Below are 27706 nucleotides of genomic sequence, written 5' to 3'. Positions count from 1 at the left end.
CTTCCTTTGCTTGTTAACAATCTACAGCCTCTGACATAATGTATCCTTAACCTATTTTGGTGTTCTTAATTCAGAATTATTTCTTCTTCCCGCATGAAGAAAAAGCTGCCAGTTTTGAGAATATCCATTAAGTTAAGGGCACAAAGCAGAACGTTAACATTCAACTTGAAGAGAAAGAAAGAGACTTTATACATCACAAAGCACAATTCTGTTTTAATGGAAGAATGAAGTTTCAGATGGAGAGATGTGGGGACAGAGAAAGAAGTTACCTTCTTTGTACAATTTTTATTTGCATTTGACGAGTGGTGTTCCATGGGAATCCTTTACCCTGTAAAAAATGTCCACCTCTGCTGTTAGTTTGTGATGCTCCCCATTTCTCAAACACGAGCATTTAGAAATTCCAAACTCTCTGATTCTTTTTCCTCCCCGACCTTGTGCTAGAACTGGAGTGATCTACATTTTCTCTGTTGCTCTGTGATATTCTGAAACAATCAAAATAAATTGAATCTTTTATTACCCAATAGGTAGATCAGAAATAAGAACCCAAGGCTGGTTAACAATAAATCTGGTGGTATCTTTACCCAGGTGGGTATTTTGAAGCCACAGAAAAACTCAGACATGTCATTTTGTACTTCCAACTTTCTCCTTCTCTATTTTGAGGTGATTAATTTCCTCTGGATATCTAGAGAACAAGATGGCTTTATATTTCAGTTCATTATAAAAACAGAAAAAGAAAGAAAAGATTTGCCTATCTCCATAGGAAAGTCGATTTCTTTCTTTTTTGACCTAATCAATGAGAAGGCATTAAATATAATGGTTTCAAAATCTTAACTAGAAATGCCAGTTTGGCCACAAAAGGCTTTGTTAAAAGGGCATGTAGGAATCCATGGAGAGGGTCATCATTATAATAATCCACTCAAGATGATTTGATTTCTATAGCTCCAAGTCTTGATATTTGTCCTGGATTCTGCAGCCAGCCAAGGCAGTGGGAGATTTTCTTCTGAAGCAAACAAATCTCCCTGTTTCGTACTGATTCAACCTAATTCTAGCCACCCAGCCTACACATTATATATTTCCTATTTTGAGAAAAAACAGTCCTGGAACAGGGAGTGGGCAGTGGACTCAATTCTTTTTTCCACTAAATTGAGACACCTTACAGATAAGAAAAGCCACATTTTCTGTGAAGGGGAAGAAGCAGAATACTTGCTGCAGTGAAAAATCACAAACCAGGAACCAGAGGATAAGAGGAGAATGGCAGATTAACTTCCGGTTACAGGACAGCCGTAAGCTCTTACAAGGCTCCCTCTGGCATCCGCCTCTAATTCCTAGGCTGTATACACATCCATAAAGAAATAGTTTCCCAAAAGTAGACTCATCTGGGAGTAAAATGTCAGCTTTGCAAGGCTTCTGACCCTGCCCTCCCACAATCAGGCAAGACCCTCAAGTTATAATTAGCTTCATTGACCCTTCAGTCTCTCCGTTTTTGCATGGCCAATTCACTGCTATTTATATCGGGGCTCAGTGGCGATTTTTGTGGCCACAACTGCGTTCTGACCTTCTCCAGAGAGGATACTGAGGGTCAGGACAGTTTTGTTCATGTTTGGATAGAGTTAATACATCATCTCTAGGATTAGAATTCTAGTTTGAAAGAGTGAATGGTAGCTTTGGTTTTATTTTTGGTACAAGAGAATAAGGCTTTGCTTTTAATATTTGAATTTAGGTGTGGGGGTCAGTAAATACATTTATGAAATGCCAGTTAGAAGGAGAGAGAAGGTGTAGAAAATGAAAAGTGGGGGAAAACTTCCCACTAGAATTTTGCCAGAATTTATAGAAGTCTGAGGTTAGAACTGACTTTCTAAGTTAACATTAATACAGACTTACCTCTTTAACGAGCCTAAGTTCAGTCTCATAACAAAGAGTTTCAGCTCTTCAGAAATATAATTTTAAAAAAATGCAAGGTAGGTGGGCAAAAGCACTAAAGCCAGAGGCACATCCTCCTTGCTAATAAAATTAGCTGACATTTATTTTGTATTTGCAGGTGCCAGGTACTGTTAAGAGTCCAATGCTAGGGTGAAGTGTTATCACTTCCAGAACACAATCTCCACACTAGTCAGTGGGACTGAAGCCCAGCTGTAACAATTGCTAGCTGTGTGCCCTGCAAAAATGTATTTAACCTCTCTATGCTTCTGGTTGTTTTTTTTTTCAGCTGTAAAATTGGTGTTAGAAATAATCCTCACCTCATTTCAATTTAAGATCGTGAACAGATATCCACATTCTCAACTTCATTACAGCATTATTTACAAAGCCAAAATGTAGAAACAACCTAAACATCTATAGGTGGATAAATGGTTTTTTAAAGTGTGGTATATACATACAATAAAAATAGTATTCAGCTTTTAAAAAAAAAAAGAAGGAAATCCTGCCACTTCTGATAACATGGATGAATCTTGAGGACATTATCCTAAGTGAAATAAACTAGTCATAGAAAGAGAAACATTATATTATTTGACTTACATAAAGTATCTAGAATAGTCACATTCAGACTAGAAACAGAGAGAAGAACAGTGGTTGCCAAACCTTCAGGGAGGGAGAAATGAGGAATTATTGTTCAATGGGTGTAGAGTTTTAGTTACGCAAAATGAATCAGTTCTAGAGACCTGCCCTCCAGTGTTGTGCCTATTGTTAACAATAACGTGTTGTACACTTAAAAATGTATTAAGGCGGTAGATCTCATTTTAAATTTTTTTACTACAATTTTTTTTTGAAAACTGAAAATACTAAATCCCTACTTCACAAGATGCTATAAAGTTAAATCAGTTAGTGCATGTAAAACACCGGCACAGAACCTGGCACCGGGAAAGAGCTTATATAAATGTTGGTTATTACTATTATCCACTCATTAAATGAAAAAGTGGAGGTTTAAAAGGGTAATTTGTTCAAGGTCATGCAGGGAAAGATGGGCAAAGCTGAGATTTGAATGCAGGTGGTCTAGCTCAAAGTCCATGTGCTTTTGCGGTAAACCTTAACACCTCCCTGATAAGCACATCCCCAAGGACTCAATGTGATTGGACTCAGCCCTACCTGATGTGGCAGAAGCAGCACAGCAATCAGACACCCATGGGTTCCTTTTGGCCAACAGCTTGTGGCAGACCATGAGTCTAAGAATTAGTAGCTACTACAAAGGCTGATGGGCTGATGGTGCCACAAATTTGAAGACAGTGGGAAGGAAGACCCTCAATTCTCCACGAAAAGACTTGAGGTGGGAAAGGTTCTTGGCTAAAACTAGATTTCTCTCATGTGAAATTAAGGTATGATTATGAAATTAAAAAAAAAACTCATGAATTTACAGCTTTTGTGAGGGCATAATATTTCACTTAAAGCAAAGAGAAATTACCTTTTGTGGTAGATGGGTACCCATGTTCCTAAATAATCATTTTATCCTCAAGTTGTGCCCAATACTATATCATACCATGTCTCATTTCATCTCTATTGAAACACCATGAAGTAGAAATTATTAGCTTTGTTTTATGAATGAGAAAATAGAGAGGTTAAATAACAAGATCACAAAATGGCAGAGCTAGAATTTGGACCCACGTCTGCCCGTCCTAAAACCCAGTGTTTTAACTGTGAAACCAATACTGCCTTGTTGCTTGTGGTTGTGGTGATCTGTTTATGTACAAAAATCACAGTAAGGAATATTTAGATAAGGCTCTCTCCTTATACAATAGTATGACCTTAGCATGGCTTGTTACATATAGAAGAAACCTAATAAATGTTTTTATTTTTTTTCTTCTAACCATACACTTGCAACGTACCTTGGAATTTTAAGTGATTTGTACTTCTTTTCTATTAAGCAAAGCTAAGAAAGGCATTATTACTCCCACTTTAACTGGTGGGAATTCTGAGACTTATAAAAGTGACTTGCTCCAGCCTTAAAGTTTTGAAGTAGCGTCTTATCTCTAGTCCCCTGGGCTTTTTCCTACACTTCATTCTCTACTTTTGGAAACATTTTCCAGAATAGGTGATTAGAGGGTATAGAAATACAATAAATTTTCTATAAATATAAATAATTTGTATCAAGAGGCGAATACTTTAGATTCCATATAGGTGAACCAAGAACATTTCCTGAAACCCTGTCTCCACTAAAAATACAAAAATTAGCCCAGCATGGTGGCACGTGCCTGTAGTCCCAACTACTCAGGAGGCTGAGGCAGGAAAATCGCTTGAAGCCAGGAGGCAGAGGTTGCAGTGAGCCGAGATTGCGCCATTGCACTCCAGCCTGGGTGATAGAGCAAGACTCCGTCTCAAAAAAAAAAAAAAAAAAAAAAAAAAAACACATTTCCATGGAGAAAATCTGTGAACATATGAGGCTCCCAAGACTGATAGATGCCCTTGGGTTCTGTCCTGTCTATCCCTAAATAGACTGCAAATACTATGGGGTTTGCAGGCTTCAGGCTGCTAGATGGCCAAAAGTGCCTCTAAGCTGTTGGTGGGAGAATTAAAAGGTTAAAAGGGAAGCAATGGTAGAGAAAGTGTAGTAACTGGGAGACTGCATTATGGTGTTTGTTTGTTTGTTTTTGTTTGTTTGTTTGTTTTGAGACAGAGTTTCACTCTTGTTGCCCAGGCTGGAGTGCAATGGCGCGATCTCGGCTCACTGCAACCTCCGCCTCCTGGGTTCAAACGATTTTCCTGCCTCAGCCTCCCAAGTAGCTGGGACTACAGACATGCAGCACGACATCCGGATAACTTTGTATTTTTAGTAGAGACAGGGCTTCACCATGTTGGTCAGGCTGGTCTCGTACTCTTGACCTCAGGTGATCCACCAGCCTCGGCCTCCCAAAGTGCTGGGATTATAGGCGTGAGCCACCGTGCCCAGTTTATGTTTATTTTCTATGAGGGGATTAAAGCAAAAGGGAAAAAAAAACAAACACAGCCAAATGTCTGCTACACAGCCATATACACAATGGCAAGCTCCTTAGCATAGAGCCATTTATCATTTATATGTACCTCAACTTTAGCTTTGAATTGAATACTCAAAATTAAAAAATAATAATAATAAACAAAAAAAGGCCTCATTTTCCCTGTCTTTCTACAGGATCAGGAGAGGGGAAAGGTAAGTTTGCAAGAAAAAAAGCTTTGATTTCCTGCACATATTTATGCAGGAAGAAAAATGTCTTCACTGCCATCTCCAGACAAGAGCACCCTGTGCCGGTCAAGAACTTGTGTTTCATCATAGGCACTCAAGACATGCTTATTGGATGAGGAACCTGGGGCTCTTAAACTGATGGAGATGGCATCAGTCCTGCTCTGGAGGGACTTGCAATTGAAAACTTCTGACATTAACCCAGACAAAAATGGACAAGCTATCTAGATAATGCACTCAGAACTTTGAGCAATCAAATAAATATCCAGTTTGATTTTTTTTACATCACTTATAGTCACAAACTGCTTAATTTCCAACCATTCTATGGGTAACCTTAGTTCACAGACTACTAAAATAAAGTCACAGTACATTATGAAAAATGCCCTTCAGCAACATAAATAAGAAGCCATTTTTGACTGGAGATGAGTAGAATGTTTTAAAGATGCATTAGGAGGCATCTGTGAGTGAATCTCACATAAGAATTTCCTCTCGATTATTTTGAAAGGTAAGTAAAATCGGCAGCTACACTAGTCTCCAATTGGACATAGATTTAATTATTCTGGCTAGCTCAGAAGAGATCTAATGGTTCTAATGGATTCTTAAAGTTTCCTAAGTGGTTCTCCACACTTGGCTGTGTCCAGTCACAATGGACTTAATGACACACGTGTGGAAATGGAGCCACGATGGGGGTGGAAAACCCCACAGACACTGTCTGACAACTTTGCTTCCTGGCATTCCAAGATCTGCCACACCAGCTGATGTTACACCCTGATGTGCCCTTGTGTCCCTTTATGTTAACTTCCTATAATTTCTCATTCTTCTTCTGTAGTATTTCCACGATACCTTTTGATGGAACCTACCACACAATCACTTAGGCTTATTTTCTGTTGTTGAAACTCTTCTTGTGAAAGTCTTCTGGGACTGCTGGAGAGCCTACTTACATCACGGTGAAAAGGACTAAAACATAACGAAAAGAGAAATGAGTTTGTAAATGCAGTCTGGAGAGGTCAGACTAAATATTTTGTTAAAGATGGTCTCAGGAGTAATATTTGTTCATGAGGCAGACATGAACGTTTCCACTAAGAATCAATAGTGAGCCCATTTGCACTGCGCTTAGTGTTCAAAGTGTTTCTGTGCACCTCGCGCACTTTCTCTCTATAAATAAATATCAGTGGTGGTGGCTGTCTGTGTTTCAAAATGCTGCTGCCGGTCATGTTGTTATCCCTGCCTGAGAGTGGAGCTGAAAAGACCAATGCATCGCTATCCATCTTTTGTAGCCTGCATTCAAGCAAAGGTTTTCCTGGTATGGCAGTTCTAATTGCACTTTGCTTCTCGTCTTTTAACTCCACAGTCTGTCTGATGCTCTGAAGCCTCTGTTTGGAACAAGACACCCTATTTCTGCAGGCTAACCACCCACCTCCCAGAAAATTCTGATGATTTTGTTTCCCAATATTCCAAAGCCCTGCAGACCAAATGATGGGACACTTCTGGGTTCCTGTATATTATATCTTCTGCCTGATCCCCTTACAGATGTCAGCCTCTCTCAGCACAAATCCTGGGACTGCTTCCTTTATTTCCCTTCCATACTTGTTCTGGCCAATGAAACAATGTTATAGCAAACAATTCTTCAAAAGAGAGAGAGTATGGCATAGTCGGAGGGGCATGGACAGACCTTGGTTTAATTCCCAACTTGGCTACATACTTGGCAAATTAATCAACTTCTTTAAGCTTCAGTTATCTTATATATCAAAACAGTATAATAATGCCCAGCTTGAATGAGTGTCATAAAGATTAAAGTAATACCTGGAAAGGACCTGGCTCATAATGGGCAGGCTATAGGGGAACCATCGTTACTTAATCCTGATAAAACTCGCCAAGTTCTAGAAGAAGATACCACATTAGTTAGGAAGCTGGTGAAATAAGCTATTTGTAGACTGCAGATGATTTGACAGGGGGCTTGAACCCATGCTTACTTTGTCCATCTAACATTTGAAGAATAGCCTGACCTTTCTAACTGACTTTTGGGATTTCCCAATGTCTCTCAGTACATCTTTGGACAGTATGCCGGCCAGTAGCAGAATTCAGCAGCAGATTTACAACAGTCTATTCCTGATGGAAATCTTTGACTGGAGCAAACTAGAATATGACCCTTTTCTCCTTCAAGTTTATCATCAATCAATGGTGCTCTGCCAGCTCTCTATAAAGGGGATCCTAACCTCCTTTCGCCCTTACACTTCAAGAAAAGATAGGCAGCAACGAGGAGTTCCTGTGAGGTAAGTCTGCAAGGACTTCCTAGCGCGTGGAACAAGGATAAGCACCCAATAAGCACTCAAGAAGCACTGGACACAAGGAAGAATGAATGAATGACTTTATGTCCTAGTGAAAGAATTTCCTGTGGACCTGAAAATATTGGTGTGCCCACAAGTCCTTACATTCTCACATGTTTGAACATAACTCTGTAAAATAATACTGAAACTCCTCTAGCTCCATTTTATTCCAGTGATAGTAGGTCACCATCAATATCTAGATAAATGATTGCACCTAAGTAAATGTCAAGACAGTCAAATTTCAAACTGAATTGGGGCCTTAGTGGTTTGCCCTTATCTATCTTTCCTGTGCACCTATAATATCGGCCATGTAGCAGAGCTCACATCCACTCTCCCACATTTCACTGTGTTTCCCATGTGCCTTTAAGGAATCATTCTTGATCTCAGCCATAAAATTGGAAAGCTGCATAACTGACAAGATGATCCCTGAAGGCAGCTGAAACATGGGGTAGATTGAAACCGACAGTTAATTTGTAGCAGTAAAAAATAATGATATCATCATAAAACAAGTTTAAGACCAGACTGGGCTCAAACACTGTGCACCCACAGGATATATAGATGGGTATTGTCAAGCTTAAATAACAAAGCAAAACAAAACTGAACCTCCCAGCTTCACCAAGCCCGCTTCATTGGCTTTTTTGTGGTACGCTATCACCATCTGCTGGCTGCAGCCCATAAAATGTCCAGCATTCTCTAAGTCCTGGAATATTCCATTCTGCAGAGCCTGATGTTAATTACTATGCACCAGGAAACATATTAATCTCACAATATCATTGAAATGGTACAAATAAGTCAGATCTTCTTAGAATACCAAACAAATAAAAGATCCCAAGAGACTAGAGATTGCCAAAGGCACCCACCCTGTTCTGCCACGCCTGAAAGCTGCACCTGCTGGGTGCGCACAGCCTAGCATATTCTCTTTTTATTCCTGAGCTCTTTCTTTACAGGCATTCACTTTCCGACTTCCTCCTCTCCAGCTGCCTTCTCTACCAGGCATCCTACACGACACTGCAGTGATAGGCAAAGCAGCAGCTCTCAGCTAAAAACAGCCTCCTCCTAGATATCTTAAAGAAAGAAAACCACTGACGCATCTTCTTCAAGGAAAGCAAAGCCCCAGCGGGACTGAGCAAAGAAGAAAGGATATTGTTGCCTCTCCAAACTCTGAAAGCAATATTTTGCATGATTTTTCTCAAGGCTTGCCTTGCATTGTTTCTGGATTCCCTAACTCAGCAACAAGTGATGCTTTGGAGGGAGAAAAGATAGAGTATAAGCAAACAAAATATAGCCACCTATACACCCCTACCCATCTTATATTATGTGTTTAATCTTACCACTTTAGACCCTCTCTTCCTAGCATTGCAGGCCTCTGACTTCTCAACCATCCTGGGGATAAAAGAGGCTTTAGAAAACGTTTCTTCTTCACCACAGCTTGTTTTTGTTTCTTCCGATGATCTGCAATGAAAATTCTTTATTGAATGAGTATGTAATAGTTGTGTAATAAAACAATTTATAAAAATCCTTCAATTTTTATCTATTAAGAAAATTTTCCTGCTGCCAATATTTTCATGACAAGAATTAGATGATAATTGCTCTCAGATAAAATATTTAGTTCTTATTTAGCAATAATGTAAATTTATCATAAGATGTTTTCCCCGGAAAGACCACGCCTAGTGTAGCAGAAACAAGTGACATGCTCTAACTTGGGCACACATCTATAATTGAACAGGCTATCCCTGTTAGAAGAGCGTAACAACTATATACACAAAATGCACTGAACAGTTATTTCATCCTGAACAGTATCATCCTTGCATCCGTTTAAACAATTAGTTCACTCTCCTAAACACTCTGAGATGTGAACTTTAGTTCAAAGGCATTCTACGTTTTCCTCCTGATGCTGTAATTTTACAGGTTAGGAGATTTCTACATTACAAAGTAAACCCTATAAAGCAGTAGAGCCTTGAATAAAATTTCCATCTAAATTATTTCTGTAATAACCAGTGAATATATTTTTACATGTTCAATATCATCAAAATAACTAACAGCAAATTACTCAAAAGTAAAATAACAATGAATTTTTTTCCTATCAAATAGCAAAGGATTTTTAACAAATAATACCAATGCGGTCAAGCAACTATGCACTACTGTCAAAAGTGTAATTCAAAGTAACCCTTCTAGAGGGTAATTTGGCATTGTTTACTAAAAGTCTTTTTTTTAATGTATATATCTTGTGGTTGGTACATTCTAGCATTAGACTTTTGTCCTAAAAGAATAATCATGGCTAATGAATGCAACATACAACATCACAGCTTTTTTATTTAATTTATATACAACAAGTTTTTAGCATTCGGATGTGGTAGGCTGAAAAATGGCCTCCCCAAAGATGTCCACGTCCTTATCCCTGGAACCTGTGAATATATTACCTTACTTGGTTGAAAGTACTTTGCAGATGTGATTAAGCTAAGGATCTAGAGATGGAAGGATTAGGCTGAACTACCTGGGTGGGCCCAGTGAAATCACAAGGGTCCTTATAAGCGGAAGGCAAATGAGTCCAAGTCATAGAAGGTGATGGGACAATGGAAGCAGAGTTTGATGTGATGCTCTTTGAAGGTGGAAGAAGGGCCCATGTGCCAAGGAATGCAGGCAGGCTCTAGAAGTTGGAAAAGGAAACAGGCTTTTCCCCCTAGAGACTCTAAAAGGAACATGGCCATACTGACACACTGATTTTAGGACTTCTGACCTCTAGAACTATAAGATAATAAATTTTGTATTGTTCCAAGCGACTGAGGACTCCAAAAGCCTTATTCTTAAGGGTCTGAGTTATAAAAGACGGTCTTTTTTATTTTTTTATGTTTTTAATTCTTTTTTTTTTTTGTACTTTAAGTTCTGGTGTACATGTGCAGAACATGCAGGTTTGTTACATAGGTATACACGTGCCATGGTGGTTTGCTGCACCCATCAACTCGTCACCTATATTAGGTATTTCTCCTACTGCTATCCCTCCCCTAACCCGGCACCCCTGACAGGCCCTGGTGTGTGATGTTCCCGTACCTGTGTCCATGTGTTCTCATTGTTCAGCTCCCACTTATGAGTGAGAACATATGGTGTTTGGTTTTCGGTTCTTGTGTTAGTTTGTTGAGAATGATGGTTTCCAGCTTCATCCATGTCTCTGCAAAGGACATGAACTCATCCTTTTTATGGCTGCATAGTATTCCATGGTGTATATGTGCCACATTTTCTTTATCCAGTCTTTCAATGATGGGCATTTGGGTTGGTTCCAAGTCTTTGCTATTGTGAATAGTGCCACAATAAACATACATGTGCCTGTGTCTTTATAGTAGAATGATTTATAATCCTCGGGTATATACCCAGTAATGGGATTGCTGGGTCAAATGATATTTCTAGTTCTAGATCCTTGAGGAATCACCATACACACTGTCTTCCACAATGGTTGAACTAATTTACACTCCCAGCAACAGTGTAAAAGCATTCCTATTTCTCCATATCCTCTCCAGCATCTGTTGTTTCCTGACTTTTTAATGATCGCCATTCTAACTGGCGTGAGATGGTATCTCATTGTGGTTTTGATTTGCATTTCTCTAATGACCGGTGATGATGGGCTTTTTTTCATATGTTTGTTGGCTGTACAAATGTCTTCTTTTCAAAAGTCTCTGTTCATATCCTTTGCCCACTTTTTGATGGGGTTCTTTTTTTCTTGTAAATTTGTTTAAGTTCTTTGTAGATTCTGGATATTAGCCCTTTGTCAGATGGATAGATTGCAAAAATTTTCTCCCATTCTGTAGGTTGCCTGTTCACTCTGATGATAGTTTCTTTTGCTGTGTGCAGAAGCTCTTTAGTTTAGTCAGATCCCATTTGTCTATTTTGGCTTTTGTTGCCATTGCTTTTGGTCTTTTATTCATGAAGTTTTTGCCGATGACTGTGTCCTGAATGGTATTGCCTAGGTTTCCTTTTTTAATCTAGTGTCTTTATGTTGAAAATAATCTAAAGAATGTCAATGTAAAGATATTCTGGATGATCTGGTAGACCACCTCAGCTCTGCTATGATTTTGATGCCAAGTTTGTGTTTGCACTTATAGTCACAATAGTGCCAAGGAAAGGCAAACCTCCTAGAGAACAAGGAGGCCACAGCAGTTGTGGGAGAGCTGAATTATCACTTAGAAAATAGCTGTCAATGTCATATTTACACTGTGAGGAGCTATTTTTGAATCTAACAAGATTAAGTTTAGTAGTTAAGAATTTTTGTTTAAACTTTTGATGGTACTGTACTTTGAGGTGCACTGTTAAACTGACTGATCCATAAAAACAATGAATCATTGGCTTAAAATAAGTTTATTGTAGAAGAAAAATATTATTATATTCAAGATGACTGAAATGATAGTCCATCAGGCTCAAAATCAAATGAAGCACACCAAGAAAATATAAAACACTTATCATCCTACTATTAAATATCAGCTATCACTTTAAGTGACTGTTGACATTTCACTTATATTAATTTTATGTCAAAATTTAAACATAAATTTGTATTGGTTTTGTAGTTGTTAGCATCATAAAAAAATTTATTCTAATTTTATATTTCTACATAGCGGGGGAAAAACATAATGAAAATAACATAAATCAAGCCTGGAGGGAGCATGAAAATTTATCTTTCTTTTGAAAAGGATCCATACATTTGCTCAAGTATGAAAAATGTAGAGTTAATTAATTATGTTGCTCCTCCTAATGGAATACTATTCAATCATTAGGAATGATGTCATAAAAAACATTTAATGAAATGGTGAAATGATCAGAATATGTTGATAAAATTTAAAAGTAGTTACAAACTGTCACAGTAAGGTTCTAATGTAACAGTTTTATTTATTTCTAATGAATTAATAAATAAATAAATAATAAATTAGAAATAAATAAAATTTATTTCTAATAAAAAGAAATAAATTTCTATACATAGAAAAATGAACAGAAAGATACAGATGGTCCCCAATTTATAATAGTTTGACTTATGATTTTTTGACATTATATTGGTACAAAATCAATATGCATTCAGTAGAAACCATACTTTGAAACTGGAATTTTGATCTTTTCTCAGGCTAATGGTATGCAATACAATACTCTTAGATGGGATATTCAACACTTTATTATAAAATAGGGTTTTCATTAGATGATTTTATCCAACTGTAGGCCAATGTATGTGTTCTGCACACATTTAAGGTAGCTTTGGATAAGCTGCAATGTTCAGTAGGTTCAGTGCATTAAATACATTTTCAATTTATGATATTCTCAACTTACAATGAGTTTATTTCCCAAAAACAAATACTCTTCAACTTACAGAAATAACCCTATCATAAATTGAAGAGTATCTGTATACAGCTAAACAATAATATATTGCTGGTTTTGACTTTGTTTTCCTTATAATTTTTGCTATTTTCAAAATTTTCTGAAACAAATATTACTTTTCTAATGAGAAAATAGACTTTTGATAATAAATCGAGGGTCAAAACATTATTTTATCTTGGCCCTGACTTCAGAGTGTTTAAAAATTGGAATGACAGATTTGTTTCTCAATGTCTAGAAGACTACTTTGCTGATCATCATAACCTATGCTCCCCTATAAGAAGAGGAGAGTGTCAATGAAAAAACTACAAATCCAACACTTGCCCTCAGAACAACTGTGGGAAGTGTGTGTGTGTGTGTGTGTGTGTGTGTGCGTGTATTTACTTATTTATAAATGTATATACAATCATTCTCCAGGAAACCTGTTTTCTTAATGTTTAAATTATTTAATTAACATGAAGTCATTTTCCTAGTGAGATAATTGGGATAGTCCTTTTCATTCACTGAGCCACCATACTTTTTCTTCTTCCTATCAGCTAATATTTCAAATCCATGACTTTTTGAAAAACTATGTATCCCTTCTCATATCATTAAGTTTGACTTCTGAAACTTTTACTGTAAGTTTAAATGATTATGATTATTTACACATTAACATATGCATCAAATGTATATTTTTCAAAAATCTTGGGGCTGAAAATTTCATTCGTTAAGCTTATAGAAAATGTCAACGGAACTAATTGGCAAACCTTGTCTTCACTGTCAAACCAATCAACCAAGTCAGACTTACTAACAGAAAATGTCTAGCTTCCTTGTCTATTTTTAAGAAACACCACTAAATTGCATCTTGTACTTCCTTACCTATGAATTCAAATTCATTTTTAGATAGACTGAGACAGAAAGACATGAGTTTGTTACCAGAATATGAAAATAAGATGTATCATGTTTCAGTAATTCTCACCAAAGCTTTCACTTTTATGGGAATGATGCAATCTCAAATACCAGCACTGTACACCATGGTAAGATTAGAGATGGGTGAGAGATGTAATTTTCTTATAGAGAATAGAGGAGAGTGATTATAAAAGGGGAAGTGGGGTAGGAAAACTGGCCCACCACAGTCATTCTGTCCAGAAGATTAGTGTTAGGAAAACATACACATTGTCTTAGTCTGTGCTACCACAACAAAATATTGTAGATTGGGTCATTTAACAAGAAGACACATGTATTTCTCACGCTTCTTTAATCTGGGAGGTACGAGATCAAGGCTGCATCCTCCAGAGGGGCAGAATGCTGTGGGCTTACCTAGAAGAAGAGCTGAAGAGCCAGCTGAGGACTGCCTGAAGCCTCTTTCACAACGGCCTTTATCCCATTAATGAAGGAAAAGCCCTCATGACCTCATCACCTTTTAGTGGTCTCAACCCTCCATACTGTTGCATTGGCAACACCTGAATTTTGGAGGGGACACATTTAAACCATAGCACACATACAAGCTGGGGATTTGGCCATTGGTTCCCTTAAAGGTATCCATGACCTTGTAGCTCCTAGAAAGTCTGTGTACCCCCAGGTTTATATGGACTCTTGTTTGAAAATTGCCGTTATAAATGCAATCAAGATAAGCAGAAATATTCTATCCAACCAAAACTAGAAGTGGATTTATTAAATCAGAATACAAGTCTTGATACCAGAGCTTACAGTACAACACACTCATGAAAACATATAGGACTCCCTCTTCTAATGAGTTTGAAGCTTTTTGTCAGATAAGATGCACCTTTTGCAGGTAGATTATGCAGATAAAATTCTCACAATCATAAAGTCTCAAGATTTAACATAAGAAAATGCCTCTGAATTGTCCCAAAATTTCAGTAATTAAAAAAAAAAAATCCTTTCTCCAGGACTTGTGCAACTCAGCCTTTGCGATGCAAATGTAAATTATTTAGTTATGGCCTCCTTTTGTCTTCCTTATTCTGTCCCCCTTACATAAAGGTTTTCATTAGGTTTTAGACTACAGGGTAATCATTATTGTGATTAAATTAAACTTAATCTACCAGAAAAATGTTTTAGTGCCTACTCCAGGCAGGCACTGTGCTAGATTGTAAGAAATGTGTTATCAGATCACACCTTAATGCCCATGACATAGAGAAAATGACTAGATGTAGATGAACTCCTAAATGGCATGTTGGTATTTCATAATAGTATCATACTCCATTTGGATTTAAAGTGTTACAACAAAATACTCCCATTCAGTAAATTTGTCTAATGTTAACCTAACTTTGAAAAAACAAGTTATCTAATGTTCCTGCATAGCCCCTTTCTTGACTAGAAGCAGAGAGCTTCTCTGTGCTTGCTAGAAATCTCCAGCCACCCAGCTAGCATCAGCAGGATTCCATCTGTTTGTATCTATGTTCCCTGATCATAATCTTGTCTCTTTTGTTAAATTCTTTGCAGTCCAGCCGTAACGGCCTTATTCCTCCCCAATCCCAGGAATTGTCATAAACGGGCCTTTTTCTGGAATGTGCGTCTCCCTCCCACTCCCCTACTAAACTCTCTCCATCCCTTCAGATCGCAGCACGGTATGAAAGACTCCGTTCTGTGCTTTTGCAGAGCTTCATACTTCGAATCGCAGTTTGTAATCACATCTTTGTTTCCTTGACTATTTGATTAATATCTATCCCTCCCACTAGCCTGGAAGACCCATGAGAGCAGGGTCTATGAATGATTCATCACCATCGCAACCTTACCATTCCTGGAACCCAGAAGAAGCTAAATAACTCTTTGTTAACAACATGAATGGTCTGACCCTGCTTGAGAAACACAAAACCTAGATCACCAAAGTAATCATGCATCAGCTAATGACAGGGATACGTTCTGAGGAATGCATCATTAGTAATTTTGTTGTTGTGAGAACGAAATATTCTTACAACATATAGTGTACTTACAGAAACCTAGATGGGATGGCTACTATACACCTAGGCTCTATGGTGGCATAGCCTATTCCTCCTAGGCTACAAACCTGTATAGCCTATTACTGTGCTGAAAAATGTAGGTAATTATAACACAGTAATTATTTATGTATTTAGACATATCTAAACATAGAAAAGAGACAGTAAAAATACAGTGTAAAAGATAAAAAATGATATGCCCGTCTACAGTATTTAGCATGAACGAAGTATGCAGGACTGGAGGTCCCTCTGGGTGAGTCAATCAGTGAGTGATAAGTGAATGTAAAGGCCTAAGACACTGCTGTACGCTACTGTAGATTTTATAAACACTGTACACTTAGGATACATTAAATTTATTTTTAAAGTTAAGCAATTGTGCTATGACATTACTATGACTACATCACTAGATGATAGGAATTTCTTAGCCCCATCATAATCTTATGGGACCACCGTCATATATGTGGTCTATCATTGATAGAAACGTCATCATGCAGCACGTGGCTGTGTATTCAGAAGGGCCATTCTCTGAGTATCATCTGCAACCCAACCCTTGCCTTGCAAGGTCCAGGGAAACTGTGAGGTATGTAATGTTCCATAAGACCTTTTCAGAAACTTCCCTAGTTAACAGGGAGCCAATGAGGTAGAAATGAAAAGTGTACTCACCTCGTGGTCAACACTACAATTCACTCTAGTGGGCCCACACCCTTCGATGATCATTTTTCTGGGTCTTCTCCATTGGGCCCTAGTTTCATCTGTCTCACTCACTCCTGAATCACCAGCACTTAACAGACTGCCCGCTATATATTAGGTGCTCAATAAATATTTATTGAATAAATCAATGGCCAATCAACACCTGACCTAAGACTTCCCCTTAGCACACAGTTCCCTGATGCTGCCCAGTGGCAGAGTGTGTGGCACATATGCATTTGAGTTTTTCCACATTAATCTCACTTTCCCTTTCTAAGTCACTAATTATGTTTTCTCCTTGACTCATTAATTTCCACACATAAACTGCCATTTCTCTCTGAAAGGTTGGTAGCAAAATAAGTTGACCAAAAGGACTCTTTTTCTCAAAACTCAAAAAACTAAAGAAGAAAAAAATTGTCCGACTCTTTTTTCAACCAAATGTGCCTTTGAAAGATTTGATATTTGAGCTCAGCATCCAACTCTCCAATTATCTAAATAATTCCACAAGTACAAAATACCATATTTACATATGCAAAGCAAGAACAAGAAATTAGAATACTTAATTTATTCACACAATTGAATGTTGAAACAACTGCAAATTCAGACACTTTTTTTTTGCAAATTCACATCTCCAAAGTAGCCTTATCATGTACTTCTTTATATAGCCTCATGGTCCTCAAAATCTCATCTTCAAACAATTGACATTTTAGAGACTTAAGTATTTAGGTAAATATTTGAAATATGTTTGCAAATTGAGGTTCCATAAGCAAGGTTGTTAACTTACAATCCTTACCTGAAAATGAGGTCATTGGTTTGCAAACATTTTGTTCTAATACCTAGGTGAGGAAGGAGGAGGGGGTACATTGATGGCTTAATAGCTTTTTCTTCCCAGGTAGACTCATTTAGGATGAAGGTGATTATTCAGAAATCCATTTTATTCCAAGCAAATGTCTTTACCCTGGGAAAATAAATAGAGCTACTTCTGGCGATTGTTGCCATTTTATTCAGTGTTCTTCCTTATTACTCCCAATAGTTTAAATAAATATCTATAATAGTCCCCATCCTCCTTGTAATCCCATATAAAATTTACCCCATTCAAAAAAAAATGTATTCTAATGAAGTTATAACCTTTCTTCAGTCTTCTAGGTCAACACTTAATGCTCTCCTTTTCTAATTTTATACCATTTCACAGCAGAGTTAAGGTTCAACTCCATCCTGGAATGACACATTTTCCACCCAGCTATCCTCTTGCTGTTTAACGATGAGCATCATTCCTGGGGGAATGTCTCACATGAGATCATCTCCCAGCCCATAAACCCCACTAATAAACAGTCCAACTTGTCCTGATCTACCTTCTCATAGCATATTACATTAAAGAACCTGTAAAATAAGTTAAAGAGATAATAAAGTGATAGCTGAGAAACTTTACATAAATTGAAAAATTAAAATATAATAATTAACACTATGCTTGGACCTTTGAGTTCATTTCTATTCCCCAGTTTCATTTTTTTCCTTCATATGTAAAAATCAGGGCTTCTTCATTTCACTGTTTGGCTTCAAAGTTCAAAACCTCCCTTCCGCTAGTTATCTAGGGAATCCAGAAAAGAGCTAATCGACACAGTGCTTCACTTTTTTCCTCCCAAACTGATTGCATCGTTTTATCTTTGTTCAAGAATTCGCCTCTGAAAGTACAAAGCTTAAGATGTGATAGGGTGTTGTGTAGTACATCCAGACAAAGGCAATATTTAATACGAACATGGGAGAAGAAAGAGGCAGAAGGCATTATTTACTTGGTTTGCATGCTCCAGATACAGGCATTATGACTGCAGTTGTCAAGTGTGTCAACACTGTCAGATTCTAGCTATAAAAATACCTGTAGAGGTTCATTATTATAACCCTTGGAAGACAATAAAAGAATTTATTGGGAATCACTGAGCCTGCCCTATGGAGTAAGAATTACAGATGGGTTACACTGCAGCTGATTATAATAACATATTTAAAATAATACAGTTGGTTCTAACATTTAGCTTAAATTATTCATTGTAAGAAATTAGCAAACACTTGAACCATGGTACCAAATACAGCATCACTTGTTTATCCTCAAAATACCTTCTTGCATTCTAAAGGTTGTACTCATTAGCCTCTGAGGCCCCATCCGAAGATGGTCACTGTCATGTATGAATCCTGATTGCATAAAACTGTCACTCTTAATGTACTTGAAGGAAACGTTTTTTTCTTCATTGCGCTCTGCTAAATTCTGGACCCTAGCCACTTAACTTATTTCTAAGATTAATGACACCACTCTGCAGCTTTCTATACCTGAGTCTACAGGATGTTCACGCAGATCATTCCAGATCTCTGGAATTTGCCTCATCTTGTTTTTGGATTGTAACACACTAGACAACTAAGGGGGGTAGAAAAGGCGGCAGGAAGGATTATTTACTCGGTTCTTTTGAATGAGTTTGGTAAAAGTTGAAAATATATCCTTCATGGGTCAGAAATATGAATTCTATAACATTTAATCTGCCTTTTCTTCACAACCCTTTTGCTCTAAACATACTTCTACCTTTTGACACAGTGATTCTATCCTAGGAAAATAATGTAAAATATAGAAAAAGCTTTATGCCCAAAGATACGAATTGGAGTATCATTTTAATAATGGAAATAATAAGTAAATGATTAGGTATCATTACAAATTATGTTTGAAAAATGTTTTAAATAACACATAGGTGCATATAATTTTATAGACAAAAAATCTACATACATGCACTACATTAGTTTCCTACTGCTGCTGTAAAAAAACTACCACAAACTCAGAGGCTTAAACAATATGAACTATTATTTCACAGCCCTGGAGGTCAGAAGTCTGAAATGCATCTCAGTGACCTAAAATCAAGATGTAGCAAAACTACATTCCTCCTGCATGCTCTAGGGGAAAACCCAAATGCCTCACTTCTTCCAGCTTTTAGAAGCTGTCTACATTCCTTGGCTTGTGGCTCTCTTCTCTAGCAACAGATGGAGTCCTTCTTGTGCTGCCATCTGTCTGGTTCTCCCTTTTCTGCCTCTCTCTTCCACTTTTTTTTTTTTAATTATACTTTAAGTTCTAGGGTACATGTGCACAACGTGCAGGTTTGATACATAGGTATACATGTGCCATGTTGGTTTGTTGCACCCATCAACTCATCGTTTACATTAGGTATTTCTCCTAATGCTATCCCTCCCCCAACCCCCACCCCACAACAGGCCTCAGTGTGTGATGTTCCCTGCCCTGTGTCCAAGTGATCTCATTGTTCATTTCCCACCTATGAATGAGAACATGTGGTGTTTGGTTTTCTGTCCTTGTGATAGTTTGCTGAGAATAATTGTTTCCAGCTTCATCCATGTCCCTGCAAAGGACACGAACTCATCCTTTTTTATGGCTGCAGAGTATTCCATAGTGTATATGTGCCACATTTTCTTATGACTACATTGGGCCCACCTGAATAATCCAGTATACTCTCCCTGTTTTAAAGTTAGCTGATCAGCAACCTTTATTTCATCTGCAGCCTTGATTCTACTTTGCCACGTAATTGTATATATTCACAAATTACATGAATTAGGGACTAGGATGTGGATATCTAAGCAGGGGAAGGGGGATTATTCAGCCTGCATGTACTGTGCAAGAGAAACAAACCAACCAACCAAACTGAGCTGAAGCAAAAACAAGTAACAACAAAACTAAGCATAGAAAATCTGGATGAAAAGATACCACGTTGGTCACATTGCTTAGTAAAACTGTGGGTTACTGTTTTTATTTTCTCTACTTTTCCATGGTTTCCAAATTTTATTATTTTCTATGATTTATTATTTCCCAAATAATATTATTATTTTGATAATAAAAAAATCTTGTCAAAAATGTGTTTTTAAAACATTCTCTGGGCTACAGTAGCCTATAATTTTATTCTTTTATCTTTTCACATGAATTTTCTTGCTTGCAAATAGTAATCAACTAGTTAAAGGAAATGAAAGAATAATAAGTACAATAGTTATTGATTAGAATGATCTCCCCTCCCTCTGAAAAAAATGTAGTAACACCAACCTCATTGACTGACAGAGCTCAGAACTGTGTATCTGTTTGTAGTTATATATCTTATTTTCCCAATTAAAAACCAAATAATTTAAGAGCAAGTATGAGTCATTTTTTAATTGTCAAAGACAATGTTTAAAAGAGGGATAATCATGACCTTTATACAAATGCAAAATGAACACATGTCAAATATTTTATTTAGTACAATAATGAGTGAGGGGACTAGTAAGATGTTATAACCCATTCGGAGGATAATTTAAAGTACCAACCATATAATCAGTTAAGGAATTCCGAAATAAATTTACAAGTAGATGCCTAACAGATCTATTCACTGAGCTATAATCAATTTCTTCCCACCAGACACAATTAATTTACCTTTCCATGGACAAGAATCATTTGCATTATTATCCTTTTTTTATACAACTTACGGCATCATAAAATAGCAGAAAGACAATGAAAATCAGAGATATCCCAGAAGGTCATGCTAGACACAGCAAATTCTCTTTCTCCCTCTCCCACCCAACCCTCCCCCACTTTTTGGGCCCATTCAGTCTCTCAGAATTTTTCCTGACAACACAATACCTCATAGAGTATCTTGAATGTAGTATGCACTCAGTATAAATTTGGGGTTTGAATGTTGGATTGAAAGATCAATTCTGGCCTGATTACATTAAACGGGTTTGGAATGCCAGTTACCTTACGATTCTTTTTCTTTGTCTGAGGCCCCAGTTGTTTGCCCTTCTTCCCAGCCATGCTTACATTAGAAGAAGAGGAACATTTCGGGCCTCTGGGTTTAGCTGGACCTATCAGGGTGATATTGTAGGACAGAGAGAAATGGCCTGATGCTGAACTATAATGCTAGTTTGAGATAATTACAAAAAGTAATCTCAGGACTCGTGAAACCAGAAGTGATAGACTCTCTCCCCTACCTTGAGCAATCACTTATTTGGCTCTAAACAGAAAACACTCCAGAGATGGCCAGGTAGTTCTCACCATCCTGGATTGAGTTATGCATCTAGAGTTCAACAAGATTTCCCTCAGGTTTTCCAAAGTTAAAATAAACTGTATTTTTTTTTCAAAAAAGTTTAAAGATTTTCTCGAAAATCTTTATTTTTAAAGAACCCATTCCCATAACCTCATAAGAGAATTGTAAAAGTAAATGGGCTTTTCCTTCAAGAGCTAGAGAAATTAAATAGTTTAAGAACTCTTGGTCTAGGGCCATGATATGTTCCAGATGGGTGAAGAGGCAGAAATTAAGTGCAATTAGAATTCCAACTGAAGTCCTCAAGATATGAACACTAAAGGAAATAAAAATCTTTCAAGAATTTCAGTCACTTGCACCAACAACTTAAAAAAATACTGTTGTATTTTTTAAGGCAATGTATAGATAAGTATCAAGGCATTTTTATAACTGTTATCAGAGACAGTCAACTCTTGTGCCCTTGGCTGCAAAGAAAACCAGATCAAACTAAACAAGATAAGATGTCATACATATTGCCAATTAAAACCCTGAACAATTTAAAATGCAGAATGATTTATCTACATTAAATAAAAAACACTCCATAGGCATTTATAAATTGACCCTCAGGCAAAGCAATTTTGTGATTTGAAAGAATACATATATATATATATTTAAAAAAAGCTTGGCATTGCACCAACAATCAGCCAGCATCTTGGCACCCATTCAGATAGCATCTCCCACTAACAGTTGTAGTAATTTTTCTCATTATAGTGTTTGCACGCACATAAATCAGATTCAGGTGAATTTACAATGTGCCATGAACTGTCAAACTTATAGCAGCCAGCAGATTGTCTTAAGTGATACAGGATTCATGCCTTTGAGCAGCACATAACTCTCACAGCTACTGGACAACAGTCCAGCTGCAGCTTCCTCAGTATTCTTCCATTTCCATAAGCTGATAAGTTTATGTGTGACATTTCAAACTTTTGATTTTTATCTGTTGCCTGATTTAAATTCTAAGTGAATCTTAAAACTTAGATCAGGAACATTAAGTCTTTTTAAATGAGATCTGAATTTGTCTAAGACCAAAGCGGCCTTGGTGCAGCGGCAGCATATCTCCATGTTCCCTTAGAGTGCAGTCCATTTACCACTTCAAGCTGCAGTATCTGTGGGCATTTGAGCTTTTTCTCTTCCTGCTAAGCCTGCAATTTCCAGGTGTACTTCAAACAGACTGAGAAAGATAGCCCCTTGACTGCGTGCATTTCAAGCCTATCCTTCACATAGAATCTCAGCAGCTGCCACATTAAACAGGAAACCCATGGGTCAAAATCTGAACTGAGAGGGAAAAGGTAACAAGCCGACCTGAGCCAGGGGTAATTTATGATTAAGTTAATGAAATTCTAATTAGGCTTATAAAGCCCTGAAGTATTTCTTGCAATGGCTTGTCATGAAGCCTTTATTCAGGGAAAGCCAGAGTGCCTTTGATCTGGGTCATGCGGCATATTGTCGCATAGATTCGTGTTTATATCGCCTCTTTTATAGTTAAGCACACTCTTAGAGGCATAAAGGTAATATGAAGCACTGGGGAGAAAAAGAAAAAGCAGCAATCTGTTCAGACCCAATGTGATACTTGCTCAGGGTACCTCTGGGTAATTGTTCAAGTTCTCCTGATTTACAAAACAGATTATTTTCAGCCTAAATAATGGCTAATAAATTCACCAAAAACCATTTTTAGCCTGCAGTCCAGATCCTTTTAAGAGTGGACTTGTCCTTAGAATTAAGAATATTTCAGAATTAAAAATAGAACATTATTAAAAGTAAGGACCCCTACTTAATTAAGCATGCCTACTCACAGGCATTCAGCAGTGCCCTCTGCAGAGCTGAGGGAGAGAAGAAGTCCACTTGGCAAGTTGCCTGTGTGACAGGGAGTGAGGCTCCATTAATTCAGAGGTGTATAGATCAGGCCCACACCTGCAATGGGAAGAATAGCCGTGCTAATGGAAGTAGCCTGACCAATCTATCCTGAAGTGTCCTAGCTGGGAATTATATCTTAAGAGGGAGGAATAGAAAGCACTGCACTTATTTTTTAAAAATAAGACAAGAGTCAAACATAAGTCTATGTTCAGGCTCATTTTTACACTTTTAATTAGCTTATTAGAATAAAATCATATTCAGAAGGCAACAATTTAAAAAATCTTTAGGGGCCTGCTTTCAAGATCATATCACTTTAACTTGAACCTTTCTTGACTCGTTTTACTGACATCTCATTACCTTTATAATTATTCAAACAACTTATGCAGGACCTATGCATGCATGGTACGAAGCCAGCCTACAAAAATTCACACCTGAGATCTCAGGTTTCATGTCCTTTCCCACTCTGGCCCATATACGACTGCTTTCCTTTGATGGTCTCATTGGAAAAGATTTCTAGAATTAGGTATTCCCTCCTATCTCTTGACTCTACATTCAGTACAGAGATTACTTCCACATACCTAATAGGTATTTTTTTTACTTCCTCTTATACTTTCAAAAGGCCATTCAATCATGAAAAGAGCTCATCTCTTAAAAAACAAGAAACGTTCTTTGATAATGATATCTAATAGTATTGATCTGTCATGGAATACTGTAGCAAACATAATTACTTCTAGTGGATTATTTCATTTAATTTCTTTAAGTACCTTTTGAGGAAAGTACTATTGATATCTCTATTTTACAGATGAGAAAACTGATGCGTGAAGGTAATGATAATTTTTCAGACCTATCTAGTGCGGCCTAAATTCAAAGCAAGGTCTCTCTGACATTAAAGCTGTTATTCTTAACCTTGTCATTGACACTCTATGACTCACAATGCCATGTCCACTTTTCAATTTTCCATGAATTCATGATGCCAAACAATAAATAATTTTTATAAGACTGCTCCCCCAGAATAAGTAGTTCCCAGCATCCTTATGTCCTTAATATATTTATAACAAGAGCAACAGCAAATGATGATGCAGACTTGCATAGAAAGGACAAATTGTTCTAAATTGCAGGATGCGTTCATCAGTCAGCATGATTAAACTGTCCTCACTTAAAATAATGCTTCTCATTCCCTCTTAGTCATGACCACTGTCCCCAGCTGCTACCAACAACAGAAAGAGAACCTCCAGTTTAATAAACTCACGGTTTCCCTGGAAGAAAACTTCCTATGAAAAAACATTACAAAAATCAAAGAAAACACATGCTATATTTTAGGCCCATGATTGGTCTATTTTAAGCCATGTGGGTGTGTATTCATCTGATTTGTCAAAATGTCTCAAAAAATAAATGATAAGTCTTTATCAACAAGCTTTATTTAGCACACACACACATATATGTGTGTATATATGTATATACATATGTATACACACACACATATATATGTGTATATGTGTGTGTGTGTGTGTGTGTGTGTGTGTGTGTGTGTATACATATGTATTGGACTAAGGATAAAAGTTCTTCAACTGTGATTGGCAAAATAAAATTATTGTTAATTATTTAATAATCTAAATTACATTGATGCTATCAGAACAGGTAACCCTGATTCATGCTAGGTTGAGAATGTATTCAGGTTGGGATTTTATTTTTGTTATTTTGTGTTTTAGTTCTTTTGTGAAGTGATAAGTGATACGGTTTTGCTGTGTCCCCATCCAAATCTCATCTTGAATTGTAGTTCCCATAATCCCCGTGTGTCGCGGGAGGGACCCAGTGGGAGGTAATTGAATCATGGGGGCAGTTACCCCCATACTGCTGTTCTCATGCTAGTGGGTGAGGTCTCATGAGATCTAATGATTTCATAAGAGGCTTTTCCATCTTTGCTTGGCAATTCTCCTTGCCACCATGGGGAGAAGGATGTGTTTGCTTCCCCTTCCGCCATGATTGTAAGTTTCCTGAGGCCTCCCAGCCATGCGGAACTGTCAGTCAGTTAAATCTCTGTCTTTTATAAATTATTCAGTCTCCGGCAGTTCTTTACAATAGTATGAGAATGGACTAACACAGTAAGGATCACTGGTGTATTACTATATAACAAATGTTTTATAAAGATGAAAAAATTAAATAAAAAAAGAAACACATTATCCTTAGATAATATTTTAAATCCCAACTCCACAATGTCCTTGACAAGTCCTTGAGACACTGTTAGGCTCATTTTACATTTTACATTTTACAGAATGAAGGAACTCAATCTTGGACAGCTTAAGTAATTTCTTAAGGATATCCAGAATAGTTGAGTAGGAATTTCAAACCTGCTATCTTGCCTCATCTTTTCCACCTGAAAGCACTTCTCTCAGGAAGGATCATAATGCCCTCTCCACATCTTTGTATTTGCTTGAATAACTCTTACTGGCCTTGGAGGACTAACTTAGATATTACCTTCTATAGGAAGCCTTCCCTGGAACCCCACATCTGGATTGGATTCTTCTTGTATCTGTCCCCATGATACTCTAGGTATACCACCCTCTGTCACAGCACTGCACTTATCATGGTGTAATATAGTTGCCTATTTCCTTGTGGGTCTCTTCCACTCACCCCAATCACTGAAGTATCTTGATTACTAGGGACTATGGTCTATTCAATATTCTATTCCCTCAGGTTTAATATGATGCCTAGCACATCAGAGGGACTCCAATGTTTACTGAAGAAAAAAATCAATGGTCAAATGAGTGGATGCAGACTCCAAAGCTCACACACCCTGCTGCCACAGGTTAAGTGGTATCTCAGCCTACAGCACACCGCCTCTTAGATCAAGTGTGTAGCAGCACCAAGCACAGGACCCACTGGGAAGCCAGCACTCAATAAGCATTTTCAACAGTTAAATTCAGGTGGACTCCCCAGAGTCTAAGCCAATTATTTCAGTGAAGGGCATCAGCTTTCTCATATTTCAAATCAATCAAGACTTTGTCAATAGCACAGCAGTTTAGTCCTACTATTGAAAACATAATTAGTTTCTCATTATTTAAGTGGAGGAAAAGGATGAACTATATGTGAGTGACTTAGCAGTAGTGCAACTACAATGTTATTGTATGAAATTCAACCTAAGCAGATATGACTGAAGATAACACTAAGACTAGAAAAATAAAAATAAGGACTCCCTTTGCATTTAAAAGAAAATTCTAGTGCTTTGCAAGTATACAGGTAAAAATTAACTTAAAAAAATGAAATCACTCTCTTTTAGCACCAGAGTTGAAGCCTTTGTTGATAAGACACTGGAGAGCAGTTAAAAGAGTGGGGAGGGAAATACAGTGGGTGACAAGAATTAACCCTGATACTGAAAAGAGAAACAGGAAGAGGATATGGGAAAACACGATGAGAAAGTCTTGTTCTTTAGCACTCTGGACTTCTCTTTTTACCCACATTCTCTTGGGCATAGAGAATAATAAAAAGTTAAATTTAATTATTACCTCTATATAAATGCTTCCTGTGGTAGACAGAATACTGCTCCCCACCCCCACAAAGGTGTGTATGTCCTAACTCCTGGAACCTGAGAATAAGTTGTCTTACGTGGCAAAAGGGACTTTGCAGGTGTGTAGATTTTCCTGGTGGGACCAATGTAATCACAAAGATCCTTATACGTAAAAGAAGGAGGCAGGAGAGTAACAATCAGAAATACTTGAAGACACTCAACTACTCGCTTTGAAGATGGAAGAAGGGGCTGCAAGCCAAGGAATTCAGGTGGCATAGAGAAGCTGGAAAAGACACAGAGACAAATTATTTCCCTGGAGGCTCCAGAAGGAATGCAGCCCAGCTGACAACTTAATTTCAGTGAGACTCATTTGAGATTTCTGATCTCCAAAGCTATAAGAGGATAATGTGTATTGTTTCAAGCCACTGCATTTTTGATAATTTTTTTTACAGCAGCTGTAGGAAACTAATACACTCACAAATTTTGCCTTGTGAACCTGAGCTTCTGACATTAGGCTGTTTGTGTCTCTATTTCAGTTTACCCCTGACAATCCCAATGCAACACATCCAATACTAAGCTCGTCATCCTCTTCCCAACTATGATTCCTCTCCCAGACTATCCTACATGGTCTGTTACCCTGCCTTTCTTCCAGGTCGAGGCTAGATGCCTGTGATTCTTCCATATCCTTCTCCCTGCTCCCCAATCTATCTCCTCTCTTGCCTGTTCTCTGGATAAAGGTCCACTGAATAACACTGTTTTCTACTCCCATTGTCATAATCCAGAAAAGAATTCTAATTCTATAAAGAATTAATTCTAAAAGA

At 37.5% G+C, this 27706-nt stretch overlaps 1 long non-coding RNA gene across 1 annotated transcript; it reads right to left on the bottom strand.

The window, feature by feature from the left end:
- Nucleotides 1-193: 193 nt before the first annotated feature.
- Nucleotides 194-27603, bottom strand: LOC729254 (hCG2045843). The gene is made up of 5 exons (NR_157850.1): nt 27522-27603; nt 26984-27168; nt 8802-8922; nt 6004-6100; nt 194-482 (listed from the first exon to the last, which is right to left on the bottom strand). It is a non-coding gene; the product is annotated as an hCG2045843 (long non-coding RNA).
- Nucleotides 27604-27706: the final 103 nt, after the last annotated feature.

The sequence above is a fragment of the Homo sapiens genome, chromosome 2, assembly GCF_000001405.40.
Source record: "Homo sapiens chromosome 2, GRCh38.p14 Primary Assembly".
NCBI classification, from domain to species: domain Eukaryota; kingdom Metazoa; phylum Chordata; class Mammalia; order Primates; family Hominidae; genus Homo; species Homo sapiens.
Note: the sequence above shows the minus strand (reverse complement) of the source record. Positions and strands in the feature narration are given on the sequence as shown.